Source organism: Homo sapiens, chromosome 10 (genome assembly GCF_000001405.40).
Source record: "Homo sapiens chromosome 10, GRCh38.p14 Primary Assembly".
Classification (NCBI taxonomy): domain Eukaryota; kingdom Metazoa; phylum Chordata; class Mammalia; order Primates; family Hominidae; genus Homo; species Homo sapiens.
This window is the reverse complement of record NC_000010.11, coordinates 67,625,345-67,646,845: the sequence shown is the minus strand read 5'-3', so window position 1 is coordinate 67,646,845 and position 21,501 is coordinate 67,625,345. Positions and strand designations below refer to the sequence as shown.

General features: G+C 37.6%; 1 protein-coding gene across 7 annotated transcripts in view; it reads left to right on the top strand.

Annotated features, from left to right (window-relative positions):
- Positions 1–21,501, top strand: part of CTNNA3 (catenin alpha 3) — a 1,851,072-nt gene that overhangs the window by 116,749 nt on the left and 1,712,822 nt on the right. The window lies entirely within an intron of this gene.

Genomic DNA, 21,501 nt, shown 5'->3' with positions numbered 1-21,501 from the left:
AGATTTCATGTATTGGATTTTCTTAGAGCAGGGCTTGAAGAAACTTATGCAGTGGTATAGATTTAAATTTTTGTCATTAACCCACAATTTGTGAGGGAACTCCCCTTTAGGCCTGCCTTACATCTTGCCTCCTAATACAAGATTCAAGTCCCTTTTCCTAGGGACTCAAAGAACCCAAGGGTTACTTGGGTGAAAAACTATGCCGACCTTTCCTCAGATAATTTAAATATGTTCTGCTTATCTTTTTTGTGAGATGGATGTGGGGAGGGGAGTAGCTCTGAGAATAGACTTTGTATATATTTTTACAAGTTTACATATTTTTATCAATTTGTACATGTTGTACAAGTTGATATCTGCTACTCGAAAGACAATTCAAAACATGTGCATCCCTGATGATACCTTAATAGTTAACTTTGGCAGTCTTAACGGCACTAATATCTGGTGTGAAATTTATACTAGATGACTGTGGAGACTTCATTAAAGTCCGTCTTAGCCACTCACTAAACAGTTTCATGTTAAAAAGAAAAAAGGCTGGGTGCAGTGGCTCATGTGTATAATCCCAGCACTTTGGGAGGCCAAGGCAGGAGGATCGCTTAAGTCCAGGAGTTAAAGACCAGCCTGGGCAACATAGTGAGACCCTGTTTAAAAAAAAAAAAAAAGAAAGAAAAACCCTCATTTGTTTTTCTAATGAAGTTCACAAAAAAATTGGAATGTCAAAAAAAGTTAAAAAAAAGAATAAAAACACTCATAATTTTACCAAGAGATAAACATTAATGTTTTGGTGCGTTTACTTCCAGTACAATAAAGTTGTGGGAGATTTTTATCATCTTTGTACTTTGTAATATTAAAGAATATATCTTCTTTATATATATCCTTACACGTATATATATTATATATATATATATGAAGAATATATATATATTAACAAGTGGAGCTAGTACTATATATGCAGGGTTTAATCCCACTTTTCCATTTTAAATGATATTTTAATAATTTCCCTATTTATTTGTAAGCATGGTTTAATAAAGCTGCTATTTACTTATATATGATATGGCTGCACTACAGTTTTTTTAAAGTAGCCTCACATTTTTGGACATTTAGGGTGTTTCTATTTTTTTCCTATTATAAATATTGCTCTGCTGAACATCTTTGTATATACATTTTTGTCATCAATTTGTATTATTTCACTAGAATTAGTTACAAATGTAAAAGTTAATGGCCAAGATATGAATATTTTTATACTTTTTCATACATATCACCAAGTTTTTTGGGGACAGTTTTAAATGAGTTCTCACAAGTCATTTAAGGTTTTGTTCCTATCCAATTATAAGGAGTAGGAATAGGGAAATGACCTTCATTTCGGAGATGGCTGGTGAAAACAAATACATTAATGCTAGTTTATAACCCTTATTTGCTCTATAACAATGGAACATTACAGTTGGTCACTTAAAACTTGCTAATCACAAAGGTTGCTGACATATTGCTTATAAACAGAGAGAGTATCATGGGGAAACTACTTTTTATATTCTAACTGAAACTAATAGATATTTTGCTTTAGTCAAGTACATTGCTAAAGAAGTTAATAGAAAGTATTCTAAGTAAATTCACATTAAAGGGTAATGCTAGTCACAGTGTGTGTGTGTGTGTGTGTGCGCGCACGTGCACATTTTATGGCATGTTCTAAATAGATAATAACCATCTATAAACATTTATTGAGTTCACCTATAAAATTAGAAGGATGAAAATGACCTGAGTAATCTTGTTTGATTGGAAAGAAATGTATCTCTTTTAAAAAGTGTGATTATACTAGTTTTAGAGGGCTTTTGATGTTCTTGGATTCAAACTTTTCATGATCCACAAGTAGATGAGTCACAGAAATGGAACTCATTACCTTTTACATACCAGACAGTTCTGTTACATGTAAATATAATTGCTAATTTTGTCTTCCTTAAGATTGATGTCAATGTTTTCAAAATAGTCACTGATTTCTTAAAAGTACTTTGGTATAAAACATCAACGTCTCAGGTATAAAAATGATTTTATGGTCTTAGCAATACTCAAGTGATATTAAATTAAAATATTAATAATTTATATAATATCAACTTATGCAATAACTATCTTATAAAGCAGAATTCTATTTAACTAAATTATTTGTATACACTCTTGTTTTTTTAATAATGGGATTCTCCTTATCAAAAACCAGTACATTTCAAAGTCAAAGAGTTATATTTTAAAATAACTGATCTTTCTGGATTTGATGTTCAGCCTTCTTGTATCTGTCACTTTGATCATGTATAACCCACCAACACAAATAAAATATCTCATTAAATTATATTAAAGGTTTTTTTTTCTAGGATAACATCATGTTAAGTGTCTCATTACATTCTTTTTTGTTTTTCAAAAAGTGTTTATTTTTATTTTTTTAGATAAGAATAGCTGTTTAAAATTTACAAGAAAAAACAAACAACTCCATCAAAAAGCGGACGAAGGATAGGAACAGACACTTCTCAAAAGAAGACATTTATGTGGCCAACAAACATATGAAAAAAAGCTCATCATCACTGGTCATTAGAGAAATGCAAATCAAAACCACAATGAGATACCATCTCACGCCAGTTAGAATGGTGATCATTAAAAAGTCAGGAAACAACAGATGCTGGAGAGGACATGGAGAAATAGGAATGCTTTTACACTGTTGGTGGGAGTGTAAATTAGTTCAACCATTGTGGAAGGCAATGTGGCAATTCCTCAAGGATCTAGAACCAGAAATACCATTTGACCCAGCCATCTTGTTACTGGGTATATATCCAAAGGATTATAAATCATTCTACTATAAATACACATGCACACGTATGTTTATGGGAGCACTATTCACAATAGCAAAGACTTGGAACCAACCCAGATGCCCATCAATGATAGACTGGATAAAGAAAATGTGGCACATATACACCATTGAATACTATGCAGCCATAAAAAAGGATGAGTTCATGTCCTTTGCAGGGACATGGATGAAGCTGGAAACCATCATTTTCAGCAAACTAACACAAGAAGAGAAAACCAAGCGCCACATATTCTCACTCATAAGTGGAAGTTGAACAATGAGAACACATGGACACAGGGAGGGGAACATCACATACTGGGGCCTGTTGGGAGGTGGGGGCTAGGGGAGGGATAGCATTAGGAGAAATACCTAATGTAGATGATGGGTTGATGGATGCAGCAAACCACCATGGCATGTGTATACCTATGTAACAAACCTGCACGTTCTGCATATGTATCCCAGAACTTAAGGTATAATAAAAGAAAAAAAAAGAGTAACCTGTTTATTTGAAAAGACTAAGTAGACCTCAGTATTTATTTTTCATCAACTTTTATTTTAAGTTCAGGAGTACATGTGCAGGATGTGCAGGTTTGTTACATAGGTAAACACGTGCCATGGTGGTTGGCTGCACAGATCATCCCATCACCTAGGTATTAAGCCCAGCGTCCATTAGCTATTCTTCCTGATGCTCTCCCTCCTCCCACCCCTGCTGACAGACCCCAGTGTGTTCCCCCCATGAGTCCATGTGTTCTCATCCTTCAGCTCCCACTTATAAGTGAGAACATGTGGTGTTTGGTTTTCTGTTCCTGCATTAGTTTGCTGAGGATAATGACTTCCAACTCCATCCATGTCCCTACAAAGGACGTGAACTTGTTCTTTTTTATGACTGCATAGTATTCCATGGTATATATGTACCACATTTTCTTTATCCAGTCTATCACTGATGGGCGTTTAGGTTGATTCCATGTCTTTGCTATTGTGAATAGTGCTGCAGTGAACATGCATGTGCATGTATCTTTATAATGGAATGATATATATTCCTTTGGGTATATACCCAGTAATGGGATTGCTGAGTCAAATGGTATTTCTGCATCTAGGTCTTTGAGAAATCGCCACGCTGTCTTCCACAATGTTTGAACTAATTTACATACCCACCAACAATGTAAAAGCATTCCTTTTTCTCTGCAACCTTGTCAGCATCTGTTGTTTTTTGACTTTTTAATAAGCATTCTGACAATGAGATGGTAGCTCATTGTCATTTTGATTTGCATTTCTCCGATGATCAGTGATGTTGAACTTTTTTTTTTTGAGACAGAGTCTTGCTCTGTCACCCAGGCTGGAGTGCAGTGGCATGATCTCAGCTCACTGCAACCTCTACCTGCTGGGTTTCAGTGATTCTCCTGCATCAGCTTCCTGGTAGCTGGATTTACAGGCACATGCCACCATACCCGGTTAATTTTTGTATTCTTAGTAGACACGGGGTTTCACCATGTTGGCTAGGCTGGTCTCGAACTCCTGACCTCAGGTGATCCACCTGCCTCAGTCTCCCAAAGTGCTGGGATTGCAGGCATGAGCCACCGCACCCAGCTGATAAACTTTTTTTCATGTTTATTGGCCGCATGTATGTCTTCTTTTGAGAAGTGTCTGTTCATGTCTTTTGCCCACTTTTTAATGTTTTTTTTTTCTTGTAAATTTGTTTAAGTTCCTTGTAGACTCTGGATATTAGACCTTTGCCAGATGAATAGATTGCAAAAATTTTCTCCCATTCTGTAGGTTGTCTGTTCACTCTGATGATAATTTCTTTTGCTGTGAGGAAACTCTTTAGTTTAATTAGAACCCATTTGTCTGTTTTTGCTTTTGCTGCAATTGCTTTTGGCATTTTCATCATGAAATCTTTGCCTTTGCCTATGTCCTGAATGCTATTGCCTCAATTTTCTTCTAGGGTTTTTATAGTTTTGGGTTTTACATTTAAATATTTAATCCATCTTGGGTTTTTTAATTATTATTATTGTTTTTTTATTTGCTTTAAGTTTTAGAGTACATGTGCACAATGTGCAGGTTTGTTACATATGTATACATGTGCCATGTTGGTGTGCTGCACCCATTAACTTGTCATTTACATTAGGTATACCTCCTAATGCTATCACTCCCCGCTCCCGGCTACCCCACGACAGGCCCAGGTGTGTGATGTTCCCCTTCCTGTGTCCAAGTGTTCTCATTGTTCAATTCCCACCTATGAGTGAGAACACGTGGTGTTTGGTTTTTTGTCCTTGCGATAGTTTGCTGAGAATGATGGTTTCCAGCTTCATCCATGTCCCTACAAAGGACATGAACTCATCATTTTTTATGGCTGCATACTATTCCATGGTGTATATGTGCCACATTTTCTTAATCCAGTCTATCATTGTTGGACATTTGGGTTGGTTCCAAGTCTTTGCTATTGTGAATAGTGCTGCAGTAAACATACGTGTGCATGTGTCTTTATAGTAGCATGATTTATAATCCTTTGGGTATATACCCAGTAATGGGATGGCTGGGTCAAATGGTATTTCTAGTTCTAGACCCCTGAGGAATCACCACACTGACCTCCACAATGGTTGAAGTAGTTTACAGTCCCACCAATAGTGTAAAAGTGTTCCTATTTCTCCACATCCTCTCTAGCACCTGTTTTTTCCTGACTTTTTAATGATTGCCATTCTAACTGGTGTGAGATGGTATCTCATTGTGGTTTTGATTTGCATTTCTCTGATGGCCAGTGATGATGAGCATTTTTTCATGTGTCTTTTGGCTGCATAAATGTCTTCTTTTGAGAAGTGTCTGTTCATATCCTTTGCCCACTTTTTGATGGGGTTGTTTGTTTTTTTTCTTGTAAATTTGTTGGAGTTCTTTGCAGATTCTGGATATTAGCCCTTTGTCAGATGACTAGATTGCAAAAATTTTCTCCCATTCTGTAGGTTGCCTATTCACTCTGATGGTAGTTTCTTTTGCTGTGCGGAAGCTCTTTAGTTTAATTAGATCCCATTTGTCAATTTTGGCTTTTGTTGCCATTGCTTTTGGTGTTTTAGACATGAAGTCCTTGCCCATGCCTATGTCCTGAATGGTATTGCCTAGGTTTTCTTCTAGGGTTTTTATGGTTTTGGGTCTAACATTTAAGTCTTTAATCCTTCTTGAATTAATTTTTGTATAAGGTGTAAGGAAGGGATCCAGTTTCAGCTTTCTATATATGGCTAGCCAGTTTTCCCAGCACCATTTATTAAATAGGGAATCGTTTCCCCATTTCTTGTTTTTGTCAGGTTTGTCAAAGATCAGATGGTTGTACTTGTGTGGCATTATTTCTGAGGGCTCTGTTCTGTTCCATTGGTCGATATCTCTGTTTTGGTACCAGTACCATGCTGTTTTGGTTACTGTAGTCTTGTAGTATAGTTTGAAGTCAGGTAGTGTGATGCCTCCAGCTTTGTTCTTTTGGCTTAGGATTGACTTGGCAATGCAGGCTCTTTTTTGGTTCCATATGAACTTTAAAGTAGTTTTTCCCAATTCTGTGAAGAAAGTCATTGGTAGCTTGATGGGGATGGCATTGAATATATAAATTACCTTGGGCAGTATGGCCATTTTCATGATATTGATTCTTCCTATCCATGAGCATGGAATGTTCTTCCATTTGTTTGTATCCTCTTTTATTTCATTGAGCAGTGGTTTGTAGTTCTCCTTGAAGAGATCCTTCACATCCCTTGTAAGTTGGATTCCTAGGTATTTTATTCTCTTTGAAGCAATTGTGAATGGGAGTTCACTCATGATTTGGCTCTCTGTTTGTTTGTTATTGGTGTATAAGAATGCTTGTGATTTTTGCACATTGATTTTGTATCCTGAGACTTTGCTGTAGTTGCTTATGAGCTTAAGGATATTTTGGGCTGAGACAATGGGGTTTTCTAGATATACAATCATGCCATCTGCAAACAGGGACAGTTTGACTTCCTGTTTTCCTAATTGAATACCCTTTATTTCCTTCTGCCTGATTGCCCTGGCCAGAACTTCCAACACTATGTTGAATAGGAGTGGTGAGAGAGGGCATCCCTGACTTGTGCCAGTTTTCAAATGGAATTCTTCCAGTTTTTGCCCATTCAGTATGATATTGGCTGTCGGTTGGTCATAAATAGCTCTTATTATGTTGAGATATGTCCCATCAATACGTAATTTATTGAGAGTTTTTAGCATGAAGGGCTGTTGAATTTTGTGAAAGGCCTTTTCTGCATCTATTGAGATAATCATGTGGTTTTTGTCGTTGGTTCTGTTTATATGCTGAATTACATTTATTGATTTGTGTATGTTGAACCAGCCTTGCATCCCAGGGATGAAGCCCACTAGATCATGGTGGATAAGGTTTTTGATGTGTTGCTGGATTCGGTTTGCCAGTATTTTATTGAGGATTTTTGCATCGATGTTCATGAGAGATATTGGTCTAAAATTCTCTTTGTTTGTTATGTCTCTGCCAGGCTTTGGTATCAGGATGATGCTGGCCTCATAAAATGAGTTAGGGAGGATTCCCTCTTTTTCTGTTGATTGGAATAGTTTCAGAAGGAATGGTACCAGCTCCTCCTCATACCTCTGGTAGAATTCGGCTGTGAATCTGTCTGGTCCTGGACTTTTTTTGGTTGGTAAGCTATTAATTATTGCCTCAATTTCAGGGCCTTTTATTGGTCTATTCAGAGATTCAACTTCTTCCTGGTTTAGTCTTGGGAGGGTGTATGTGTCGAGGAATTTATCCATTTCTTTGAGATTTTCTAGTTTATTTGCATACAGGTGTTTATAGTATTCTCTGATGGTAGTTTGTATTTCTGTGGGATTGGCGGTGATATCCCCTTTATCATTTTTTATTGGGTCTATTTGATTCTTCTTTTTCTTCTTTATTAGTCTTGCTAGCAGTCTATTAATTTTGTTGACCTTTTCAAAAAACCAGCTCCTGGATTCATTAATTTTTTGAAGGGTTTTTTATGTGTCTATTTCCTTCAGTTCTGCTCTGATCTTACTTATTTCTTGCTTTCTGCTAGCTTTTGAATGTGTTTGCTCTTGCTTCTCTAGTTCTTTTAATTGTGATGTTAGGGTGTCAATTTTAGATCTTTCCTGCTTTCTCTTGTGGGCATTTAGTGCTATAAATTTCCCTCTACACACTGCTTTAAATGTGTCGCAGAGATTCTGGTATGTTGTATCTTGTTCTCATTGGTTTCAAAGAACATCTTTATTTCTGCCTTCATTTTGTTATGTACCCAGTAGTCATTCAGGAGCAGGTTGTTCAGTTTCCATGTAGTTGAGTGGTTTTGAGTGAGTTTCTTAATCCTGAGTTCTAGTTTGATTGCACTGTGGTCTGAGAGACAGTTTGTTATGATTTCTGTTCTTTTACATTTGCTGAGGAGTGCTTTACTTCCAACTATGTGGTCAATTTTGTAATAAGTGCAGTGCGGTGCTGAGAAGAATGTATATTCTGTTGATTTGGGGTGGAGAGCTCTGTAGATGTCTATTAGGTCCTCTTGGTGCAGAGCTGAGTTCAATTCCTGGATATCCTTGTTAACTTTCTGTCTCACTGATCTGTCTAATGTTGACAGTGGGGTGTTAAAGTCTCCCATTATTATTGTGTGGGAGTCTAAGTCTCTTTATAGGTCTCTAAGGACTTGCTTTATGAATCTGGGTGCTCCTGTATTGGGTGCATATATATTTAGAAAGCTCTTCTTGTTGAATTGATCCCTTTACCATTATGTAATGGCCTTCTTTGTCTGTTTTGATCTTTGTTGGTTTAAAGTCTGTCTTATCAGAGACTAGGATTGCAACCCCTGCCTTTTTTTGTTTTCCATTTGCTTGGTAGATCTTCCTCCATCCCTTTATTTTGAGCCTATGTGTGTCTCTGCACGTGAGATGGGTTTCCTGAATGCAGCACACTGATGGGTCTTGACTCTTTATCCAATTTGCCAGTCTGTGTCTTTTAATTGGAGTGTTTAGCCCATTTACATTTAAGGTTAATATTGTTATGTGTGAATTTGATCCTGTCATTATGATGTTAGCTGGTTATTTTGCTCATTAGTTGATGCAGTTACTTCCTAGCCTTGATGGTCTTTACAATTTGGCATGTTTTTGCAGTGGCTGGTACCAGTTGTTCCTTCCCATGTTTAGTGCTTCCTTCAGGAGCTCTTTTAGGCAGGCCTGTTGGTGACAAAATCTCTCAGCATTTGCTTGTCTGTAAAGTGTTTTATTTCTCCTTCACTTATGAAGTTTAGTTTGGCTGGATATGAAATTCTGGGTTAAAAATTCTTTTCTTTAAGAATGTTGAATATTGGCCCCCACTCTCTTCTGGCTTGTAGAGTTTCTGCCGAGAGATCAGCTATTAGTCTGATGGGCTTCCCTTTGTGGGTAACCCGACCTTTCTCTCTGGCTGCCCTTACCATTTTTTCCTTCATTTCAACTTTGGTGAATCTGACAATTATGTGTCTTGGAGTTGCTCTTCCTGAGGAATATCTTTGTGGTATTCTCTGTATTTCCTGAATTTGAATGTTGGCCTGCCTTGCTAGATTGGGGAAGTTCTTCTGGATAATATCCTGCAGAGTGTTTTCCAACTTGGTTCCATTCTGCCCGTCACTTTCAGGTACACGAATCAGACATAGATATGGTCTTTTCACATAGTCTGATATTTCTTGGAGGCTTTGTTCATTTCTTTTTATTCTTTTTTCTCTAAACTTCTCTTCTTGCTTCATTTCATTCATTTGATGTTCCATCACTGATACCCTTTCTTCCAGTTGATCGAATCAGCTGCCGAAGCTTGTGCATTCGTCACGTAGTTCTAGTGTCATGGTTTTCAGCTCCATCAGGTCCTTTAAGAACTTCTCTGCGTTGGGTATTCTAGTTAGCCATTCGTTTAATCTTTTTTCAAGGTTTTTAACTTCTTTGCCATGGGTTCGAACTTCCTCCTTTAGCTCGGAGAAGTTTGATCATCTGAAGTCTTCTTCTCTCAACTCATCAAAGTCATTCTCCATGCAGCTTTGTTACGTTGCTAGTGAGGAGCTGCATTCCTTTGGAGTAGGAGAGGTGCTCTGATTTTTAGAATTTTCAGTTTTTCTGCTCTGTTTTTTCCCCATCTTTGTGGTTTTATCTACCTTTGGTCTTTGATGATGGTGACGTACAGATGGGGTTTTGGTGTGGATGTCCTTTCCGTTTATTAGTTTTCCTTCTAACATTCAGGACCCTCAGCTGCAGGTCTGTTGGAGTTTGCTGGAGGTCCACTCCAGACCTTGTTTTCCTGGGTATCAGCAGTGGAGTCTGCAGAACAGCGAATATTGGTGAACAGCAAATGTTGCTGCCTGATCTTTCCTCTGGGTTACTTTTTGTATATGGTGTAAGGTAGGGGTCCAGTTTCAATTTTCTGCATGTGGCTAGCCAGTTCTCCCAGCACTATTTATTAAATAGGAAATCTTTTCCCCATTGCTTGTTTTTGTCAGGTTTGTCGAAGATCAGATGGTTGTAGGTTTGTGGTCTTATTTCTGAGTTCCCTATTCTGTTCCATTGGTCTACGTGTCTGTTTTTATACCAGTACCATGCTGTTTTGGTTACTGTAGCCCTGTAGTATAGTTTGAATTTGGGTAGTGTGAAGCCTCCAGCTTTGTTCTTTTTGCTTAGGATTGTCTTGGCTATTTGAGCTGTTTTTTGGTTCCAAATACATTTTAAAATAGTTTTTTTTCTAATTCTGTGAAGAATGTCAGTGGTAGTTTAATAGGAATAGCAGTGAATCTATAAATTGCTTTGGGCAGTATGGCCATTCTAACGACATTGATTCTTCCTATCCATGAGGATGGAATGATTTTCCGTTTGTTTGTGTCCTCTCTGATTTCTTTGAGCAGTGATTTGTAGTTCTCCTTGAAGAAGGCTTTCACTTCCCTTGTTAGCTGTGTTCTTAGATCTTTTATTATTTTTGTAGCAATCATAATTGGGAGTTCATTCATGATTTGGCTCTCTGATTGCCTATTGTTCATGTATAGGAATGCTAGCAATTTTTGCACGGTGATTTTATATCCTGAGACTTTGCTGAAGTTGCTTATCAGCTTAAGGAGCTTTTGGGCTGATACAATGGGCTTTTTCTAGATATAGGATCATGTCATCTGCAAATAAAGATAATTTGACTTTCTCTCTTCCTGCTTGGATACTCTTTATTTCTTTTTCTTGGCCTTATTGTCCTGGCCAGAACTTTTGATACTATGTTGAATAGGAGTGGTAAGAGAGGGCATCCTTGTCTTGTGCGTTTTCAAGGGGAATGCTTCCAGCTTTTGCCCATTTAGTATGATATTGGCTGTGGGTTTGTCATAGATGGTTATTTTTTTGAGGTATATTCCTTCAATACCTAGTTTATTGAGAGTTTTTAACATGAAGGGATGTTGAATTTTATTGATGTCCTTTTCTACGTCTATTGAGATAATCATGTGGTTTTTGTCTTTAGTTCTGTTTATGTGATGAGTCACATTTGTTGATTTGCATATGTTGAACCAACCTTGCATCCCAGGGATGAAGACAACTCGATCATGGTGGATAATTTTTTTGATGTTCTCTTCGATTCAGTTTGCCAGTATATTATTGAAGATTTTTGTATCGATGTTCATCAAAGATTTTGGCCTGAAGTTTTATTTGTTTGGTTGTATCTCTGCCAGATTTTATCAGGATGATGCTGGCCTCATAGAATGAGTTAGAGAGGAGTCCCTTCTTTTCAATTTTTTGAATAGTTTTAGTAGAAATGATACCAGTCCTTTTTGTACCTCTGGTAGAATTCAGCTATAAATCCTTCTGGTCATGGGCCTTTTTTTTGGTTGGTAGGCTATTTATTGCTGCCTCAATTTCAGAACTCATTATTGGTCTATTCAGGCATTCAGTTTTTTCCTGGTTCAGTCTTGGGAGGGTGTATGTGTCCAGGAGTTTATCCATTTCTTCTAGATTTTCTAGTTTATGTGCATAGAGGTGATTATAGTATTCTCTGTGGTGAATGAGAAGAATATATATTCTGTTGTTTTTGGGTGGAGAGTTCTGTAGATATCTATTAGGTCTACTTGATCCAGAGCTGAGTTCAGGTCCTGAATATCTTTGTTAATTTTCTGTCTTGATGATCTGTCTAATATTGTCAGTGGGGTATTTAAATTTCCCAATCTAAGTATCTTTATAGGTTTCTAAGGACTTGCTTTGTGCATCTGGGTGCTCCCATATTGTGTGTATGTATATAGGATAGTTAGCTTTTCTTGTCAGTTTGAACCCTTTATCATTATGTAATGCCCTTCTTTGTCTTTTTTGATCTTTGTTGTTCTAAAGTCTATTTTGTCAGAAACTAGGATTGCAACCTCTGCTTTTTTTCTGTTTTCCATTTGCTTGGTAAATTTTCCTCCATCCCTTTATTTTGAGCTGATGTGTGTCTTTGCATGTGAGATGGGTCACTTGAAGACAGCACTGTGATGGGTCTTGGCTCTTTATCCAACTTGTCATTCTGTGTCTTTTAATTGGAACATTTAGCCCATTTACATTTAAGGTTAATCTTGTTGTGTGAATCTGATCTTATCATCATGATGCTAGCTGGTTATTTTGCAGACTTGTTTATGTAGTTGCTTAATAGTGTCACTGGTCTGTGTACTTCAGTGTGTTTTTTAGTGGCTGATAATGCTTTTTCTTTTCCATATTTAGTGCTTCCTTTAGGAGCTCTTGCAAGGCAGACTGAATGGTGACAAATTCCCTCAGCATTTGCCTGTCTGAAAAGGATCTTATTTCTTCTTCATTTATGAAGCTTAGTATGGCCAGATATGAAATTCTGGGTTGGAATTTTTTTCTTTAAGAATGTTAAATATTGGCCCCCAATCTCTTCTGCCTTGTAGGGTTTCCACTGAGTGGTCTGCTGTTAGTCTGATGGGCTTCCCTTTGTAGGTGACCTGGCCTTTCTTTCTGGCTACACTTGACATTTTTTCTTTCATTTTAACCTTGAAGAATCTGACGATTATTTGTCTTGGGGTTGATCTTCTCATGGAGCATCTTACTGGGGTTCTCTGCATTCCCTGAATTTATATGTTGGCCTGTTTTGCTAGGTTGGGGAAGTTCTCCTGGATGATATCCTGAACTGTGTTTTCCAACTTGGTTCCATCCTCCCTGTCTCTTTCAGGTACTCCAATCAGTCATAGGTTTGGTCTTTTTATGTATTCCTGTAGTTCTCAGAGGTTTTGTTTTTTCCTTTTCACTCTTTTTTCTCTAATCTTGTCTTCCTGCTCTATTTCAGCAAGATAGTCTTCAAGCTCACTTTTAATGGGGTTTTTATGGGGTCTTTTTTGTTGGTGTTGTGTTGTTTTCTGTTTGTTTTTCTTTTAACAGTCAGGTCACTCTTCTGTTGGGCTGCTGTGGTTTGCTGGGGGTCCACTCCAGACCCTAGTTGCCTCAGTTTTCCTTACCTGGAAGTATCACCAGTGAAGGCTGTGAAACAACAAAGACAGCAGCCTGCTCCTTCTTCTGGAAGCTCTGTCCCAGTGGGGGTACTGACATGTTGCTGTTCCTAATGTGCCTGTAGGAAGTGTCTGTAGACTCCTGTTGGGAGGGCTCACTTGGTCAGGAGGAATGGGATCAGAAGCAGTCTGGATGCTTTCTGGTGGAGCAGATATGCTGCGTTGGGGCGGGGAGTGAGGGATCCTTCTTCATCTGGACCGTTTGTATTCTCCAAAGCTGGCAGGCTAGAATGGCTGAGTCCACTGAACCACAGAGATGGTGTGGCAACCCCTCCTCCTGAGAGCTCCATCCCAGGGAGAGATCAGGGCTTTGTCTGTAGAGCCCTTGCTGGGGTGGCTGAAACCCCCACAGGGAGGTCCCACCCTGTGAGGAGGAATGGATTGGGGTCCTACTTAAAGAATCAGTCTGGCTATAATCTGGCAAGGCAGCTGTGCTATTGTCGGGGACCCTTCTTTGTCTGGACCATTTGTATTCTCCAAAGCCATCAGGCTGGAATGGCTGAGTCGACTGAACCATGGAGATGGTGGCCGCCCCTCCCGCAAGGAACTTGGTCTCATCTCAGCCTGTTGCCATTGGCTGGCTGGAATTCCAATCAGTGGGTCTTAACTTGTGGGGTGCTGTGGGAGCAGGCCTGCAGAATGACGCTGTTTGGCTCCCTGGTTTTAGCCCCCTTCCTAGGGATATATACGGACAGATCTCTCGTCTTGCCAGGGATCCTGGGGCTGGAGTGTGGAAAACTCCTGGGTCTCTGTGTGTGCCTGGACGGCTGCTTTGCCAACATTCTACACAGTTCTGTGTATCAGACCCAACGCCCTGGTGGTGTGGGCTCACGAGAGGATCTCCTGATCCACGGATTACAAAGATCCGTGGGAAAAGCGTGGTTTTCCAGGTGGGGTCTCACAATCACTTACTGCTTTACTTGGCTCAGGGTGGGGGTTCATTTGGCTCCGTGCTGCTCCCAGGTGGACCATCGCCCCACCCTGCTTTTCTTTGTTCTTCGTGGGTCAAATTGTTTGCCTAGTCAGCCCTAATGCAAGAACCTGGATACTTCAGTTGAAGGTGCTGAATTCACTTGCTCCTTTCCTTCCTCTCTGAGTGCGCAGACCGCAGCTGCTTCTAATTGTCCATCTTGGTGCCGGCAGCGAGGTTGGGGCTCCAAATCTAGCCGCCGCCATCTACCCCAGGGGAGGAGGAGAAGGAGTGTTTTTTTTTTTTAATATATTTAATGGACAGGTAATGAGGCAAATAAAAATTCTGTACATTCAGGGTGTACGATGTGATGATTTGATGTATGTATGCAATGTGTAATGATTACCACAGTCAAATGAATTAACACATCCATCTCTACCCATAGTTACCACTGTGTGTGTGTGTGTGTGTGTGTGTGTGTGTGTGTGTGTGGCTAAGACACTTAAAATCTACTTTCTTATCAAATTTCAAGTAAAGAATACAATATGTTAACTATAGTCACCATGCTACACAGTAGAGTCCCAAAACTTATTCATCTTAAAACTGAAATTTTATATCCTTTGATCAACAATCTTCCCCATTTCCCCAATTCGCTAGCACCTGGAAACCACCCTTTTACCCTCTGCTTCTTTGAATTTAACTTTTTTAGATTTCACATATAAGTGAGATCATACAGTATTTGCCTTTCTGTGTCTGGCTTATTCCATTTAGCATAATGTCCTCCAGGTTCATCCATGTTAGAAAATGGCAGGATTTACTTTTTTTTATGACTGAATAGTATTCGATTGCATAAACACCACATTTTCTTTATTCATTCATCTGTAGATGGTTGTTCCCATATTTTGGCTACTGTTACAAAGAGTGTTTAATTTGAAATAGTTACATGGTTTAAGTACATGATATAGTCTCTGATTTCACTGGAAAACATTCCAAAAGAAGTTCATGTCTTTAAGTTCACATTGCCACCAGCTAAAGTTATTAATTCAGTAGTCCCATTAAAAATTTCTTCACTTTCCTCATGATTTATCTTCATGTTATATTCCTTTGCTTCCAGGGTTCCACAGAAATTACTTATCACCTCTGTATATAACTCAAAGTCAAAATTACATTTTAATTTTTGGAGTAATTGGTCATAGATACTATTATGTCACTCTAACTTCTGAATTCATTTCTTCATAAATCTTTATTCTGCTCTTTTATGGTTACCAAATTCTTCCCTACCAAACCTGATTTATCTTTAATGTATTTTTTTTTTCTCTTGGGCACAGAGATTTTTTTCTCTTGGGTCATTTTGCAGGGATATTTAGCCTGGGATATATTTCAATCATTCACTTTCAGTTTCTTGTGTGATAACTTACACAGTTGCATCCCTCTGTAATAAATTCTTCCAATGGATCAGAAATAATTTCTCAGCAATTACATTTTTATGACTGCAACTGTAGGCATCTGCACTTTATCACTTTCAAGATCCAAGTTTGGCAATGCAATGCAGAAAGTCTATTTATGCAGAATTGTGCTTCAAAGAATTTACATCTCTATGTTGTATACTCTCTGAAGGGGATATAAACTGCTAGATCATGCTACAGTCATTATATAATGAAACTGTCTATAATCTTATTTGCTGCAAAATACAGTTTGGTAGGTGTCAGATTTATGTTGAATGTGAGTTAAAAGAATTGACTTACTCAAAATCCCTTAAAATAATAGTAATAACAAACTCTTTATAATGTGTTATCTTTTGTAAAGTTTTTTTTTGAAGGGCAAAGGTCAAATGTATTTTCTGACTGTAAATATATCCCATGTTTTCAAGAAGTAAATCTAGAGTTAGAAGAACAGTAATAAACATTATTTCTTTGTCGTTCACCTCTAAGTATTGTAGGACCTCTTGGCCTTTTTTTCATTTCTACCTCCATAGTGTCTCCCACCTGTCCCCTTGGGGATAGCTTTTAATACTCACTGGGGCAAGTTTACCTACCAGCCCCTGTATTAGTCAGCATAAGCAAGGTTGTGCTGTGATAAGAAGACAACCCCCAAATCTCAGAGGCTTAATAAAATTTATTTCCTGCTCAAGCTACATGTTCAATGTGAGCTGGGGTTTCTGCTTGAGACAGGCACTCAGAGACCCAGGCTAATATAGACTTATCTCAACATGTGCTTCCACTGTCATTGCAACTGGGGAAATGGAACATGATAAATCATGCGAGAACTCCTAAAATGTTCACCTGGACATGACATATGTCAATCCTCTATTTACATTGCTTTTGTCAAAGCAAGTTATGTGGTCAAAGTGGATGTTGGGTATGTGATCCTGCCCTGTGCCCAGAGGACAATGGGAATATTTGTGAACAGCCTTAATAACTATTACATTCCCTTTGCCTTCTTTTTAGGGGTTCCTTTTGTTAAGTCTCCATAATGCTCTCAAGACACTTTGGCACCCTTGTTACAGCTAACTTTATCAGGGTGGGCAACTGACTTAGTGACACTCAGTTATAGGTTGGCAAGAACCCTGTGACGTGCTCTGCCATGAGAGCTCTGCCTCTGGGGGATGATTATGAATTGGTCCCGTTAGCATCCTCTTTTTGAGGAGTTGACTATATTCTGAGATTTAAGCAGTTAGTACCTAGGGTTAAACAGTTCTATTAGGTGCAAAGCTGAAAGATACACAGAAAGTAGAAACAAGGGGAAGAGTTGAGTCATAGTGAATGTGGCATTTTCAGGTTTGGATTCACAAACTCCTGCTGTTCAGGAACAATAAGATTACCTAGTTGCCAGGGTTTTAACAGATTTTTTTCAGTTTCCAAACTACATTCTATTCTCAGAATTATACTTCAGCCTCTGTGGGACTCATTGTTTTCAGTTCCCAGACCACTGGGCCATGTAGGCCAGATGCTTATCCTTATGTAATCTGATTCCCTGGCCTCCTACTCTACCCTTGCAAGTTCAAAGGAAGTCCCATTAGCAGCAGCAATCCAGAGTTCCTGTAATTGACCTCACTTGCTTGTGCTAGAGTGGGGATTTTCCTATAAAACCTCTTTTCTCTTCTGTTCATTCCTGCATTTCCAAATTTTGAAGTCTCTGAATTATGACTCACTTGTGCTCCCAAACCAGCGTATCTGCCGTGTATTCCAGTTTTGTCTGGCTTCAGCTTATTGCTGGTGGATGGTGACTGCTGCTGGTGGTACTCTGGGAAACTGGAAATGAACATGCCAAGGTAGCCATGTCCTAGTGGCTTCAAAGCAGTGTAGGGGTGAAGGCCAAATTTCTCCTTTGCCCTCTGGAAGTTCGGGTGAAAAATCAATTGAGAAAAGGCAGATTAATAGGAGAAAGGACATATAAAATTTATTTCAGTGTGCATAACACAGGGGAATTGTAGCCTTTAAAAAGTTGTTGTTTTTTTTTTAACTCTGGAGAACAAAACATAAAAATAATTAGCCTAAATAAAAAATCATAAATAATCATTTCAGTCTTTTATCAGTTCAGTCCCATGTAATTAATTATTGTTCTGCTTGATGGTAGTTTAGCAATTTTATGAGTCCAGTTTTTTTTTTTATTAGAGTTCTGGAATTTTTACACAGTTCATTGATTCACTTATACAGTTTCAGAGTTGTCAGAAACCTTTATTTGTCAGTGTTATTCCCATGAACTTCTTTGAAGACCCATACTTCAGGATTTGGGAAGAGCTTTCAAGAAAAAAAAAGCATCAGAATAAAACAATTAACTGTGGACAATGGGACTTAAAATGGCCATGGTTAAATAAACAATTGACAAAGATATTTGGTCTTTTTTTTGTGGCCTACAACAATTCAACATAACACTCATAATTATGAATGACAACATATACCAAGATATATCATATTTTAAGAAATCTCATACAGTTTTGGAACACATACTAACAAGATAGCCATATAAATATAACTCAGAAAAAAGGTTAAACATTATTTGTTATTTGACAGTTCTTCCCATATAATTTAATATATAAACTAAACCTGTTTATTATTTCTCTTTTGGATACTTCAGGGGTCTTTGGGAAAATCCCAAAGTTAGTTTGAAGTCAAAAAGACTTACTTTAGAATTTGAAGGTTGATTTTGGGAAGCTTGTCAAGTATGTCAAACATTTAAAATATTTGATCAAAAATTACTGTGAAATAAAGTCATTCATTTAGCTGGTGTAATAAAGGATTTCCAAAAGCCAAAACCTTTACTCTTTGACAGTTTGACAGAGATGAGACTTAGTTTTTCAAATACTCAAAAGACCTATTAAGATAGCATGAGGCACACAAAAGCTGTTTCTCCCCTTTTTTTTTTTTTGCAGTTTACTCAAAATGTGAACCAAAGTCGTTTACTATTTCTTATTGATACTATATGAAAATCTTGTTCAAAGGAGAAAATAAAATTCTAGTTTTGTAGACTATTTTTGATTTTAAGGCTCAGTTTAAAAACAAATAGTAAATTTTAAATAAATTTAATATTAAATATTAAATATTTCATTCACCTTAATTATTTTGAAATTCTCTCTTTCTCAACTTTCTATACCCATTTAGTTTTATTTATATCATTTTTCTCATTTTGAAACAACCTTTACATAATCTCTGAACTATATGAAATTGCTTTTTCTCAACAAAAGCACATCCTCATACCTTATAACATTTTACTTCCCTTACATACTCCATACATAGTTGTTTATCATATACAGTAGTTTTAATTATATACTAATTATAATAGTAACTCTTAGTAACCCTAGTTTCTACTGAAAACCTAGGAAGTAAGTAATTTTGAACTGTTTTATATCAGTGTTTGTAAATGAAAACAATTTTATAATTTTTAGAAAGATGTTTCATCAGTTTTTTGCTCATTAACAGATACAGATATATTTAGCTTTTCTATGCCATATAAGAACAAGATGTCAAAATTATCTAAACTATGCTTAATAATTAATGTTTTAGTATTTTAACTTACTTAGAAATGACTCAAACATTTCATGATTCTCTACTACTTAACATAACATGTCCTTAAGATTTTAAATTATTGAAAAATATTTTTTAACAGTTATATTTGAATTATTCATGGAAAATAAAGCTATTTATTTAGGTTATTATGTATTTTTTTTGAAAAAGCAAAACCAGCATCAGCTAATTTTATCTTAACTAAGGCCTTTGAGATACTGGACACAGGTCCCTCCCCATTGTCCCTACTCTAGTTGTCCTGGGTTCTGAGTACCCATGTGGCACCCAGGATGACTACGAAGGGTAGGACCTGTCTGAATCCTGGATTTGCACACCTAATATAGGGCCCAGGGCAGAGGACGGACTTGTGAAGACAATGTTGGGAGGATCTGACCCCTCTCAGCATGACCAGGAGGCAGAGCTGGACCAGGGAGGATGGGGCCATATTGGGCTTGGCTCAACAAGCCACAGTAGGATGTGTGTAAGACTTTTGGGAGCCCAGCAGCCAGCACTTACAGTTTTAGTTTATATACAAATCAAGAAAATATCAAGAATATCATAGAAACAACAGTTTTATGACCTTAAAACATCTAACAGAGGTAGCATAAACCTGTGTGACCAGTAGACCTAGGCAAAAATGTCTAAATTAAATTTTGAAGACATTTTTATTTTACTAGCAATTTTAAAACTAGCTTTATTTACCAAAGATTTATTAAAGTCAAGGGAACTTGAAAAGTTTTGGGCTAGTTATATAATTTATGAGTACTCATTTATTTTTAAGTCAATTTGATATCATGTAGATAATATGCAAACACATGTATAGACACATACATGTAGACACAACATACAACACACACGTATACATGTATGTATACAAAAGTCAAATAGATGAGGGAGTTTAATGCAAAAAAGAGTAGAGATTTCAGACCTGAGAGGAACCCATTCACGACTTTTGAGTCTCCATGAGGAAAACAGAGAACCCCAAAACAGGGAGTCAGTGGTACCTTTTTGTTGTGGTTCTCAAGAGGCTTCAGGGTCACTCAAAGTCCCATCTAGATCCCTTCATGTGTATCAGACGTAGAGAAAGGAAGGAGAAGTAAACTTTATTTTTTTAAAACTTTATTTATCTGAACTTCAGTTTTTTTTCTTTTAAACCAAAGGTAACTACCAAGTGATTCAGAACCAAAAAAGCCATTTATGATTTAACCAAGGGAGCACAAGACATCTCCAAAGAGGTACAAAGAAGCAGTCTTCACAAAATCCAGAGCCACCCCACAAAGACCTCTGGAAGAAAATAGAGACTTAGTGATGAACAGGAACATAACTGTCCATGGAAGGGAAAAAGATCAATGACAAATGGGTACCCCAAAAAGTCAAGGGTCACACAAATATAAATTCAAAATAAGTAATTCAAACTTCTTTTTTTTTTTTTTTTGAGACAGGGTTTTGCTCTGTTGCCCAGGCTAAAGTGAAGTGGTGTAATCATGGCTCATAGCAGCCTTGATCTCTGGGCTCAAGCCATCCTCCTGTCTCAGTCTCCTGAGTATTTGAGACTACAGATGCATGCCACCACACCTGGCTAATTTTTTAAATTAATTTTTTGTAGAGAAGGGATCTGTTTCAGGCTAGTCTCAAACTCCTGGGCTCCAGCGATCCTCCTGCCTCAGCCTCTCAAAGTGCTGGGATTACAGGCATAAGCCACCGTGCCTGACCCTCAAACTAATTTTTATAAATGTTTCCTTTTTCCCCTGAGTTAAAGGATTTACATCTCCAAGGGGCTGGTTCCCTGACTAGAAATCAAACCTGAGTTGAGGCAATGAAACAGTGGAATCCTAGCCATTAGACCATAGGCCAGAGTGCTTTTTGCAGATCCTAGATGGATCCAAAGCAGGCAATTGAGTGTACAGGATTTTAAGTTTCCTTTGAATATTATTTCTGCTTTAAAAATCTTACTAAGAGAATTTCTAAGGCTATATTCCTTTAATATTTTTAAAAATAGGTACGAATAAGATAGCTGTTTAAGACAAGCACTCTCTAAAAAGTTTTCTTTTAAGTATAGCCAATTTATTTATTCCATAAATGACTCAAGTTAATGAGCCATTTTCATGGAGTCTCAGAGGTAGCTTTCCAGGTTTAGACTATCATGGACAGTATAAGTGGCAGTATAAAAATGGGAAGATGATGTAGTTCTCATGATCCCCTCAAAATTCACTTTCAGAAAAAGTCTAATATAGCAAAGGACACTTGTGACAGATGGTTGAGGAGGTGTTT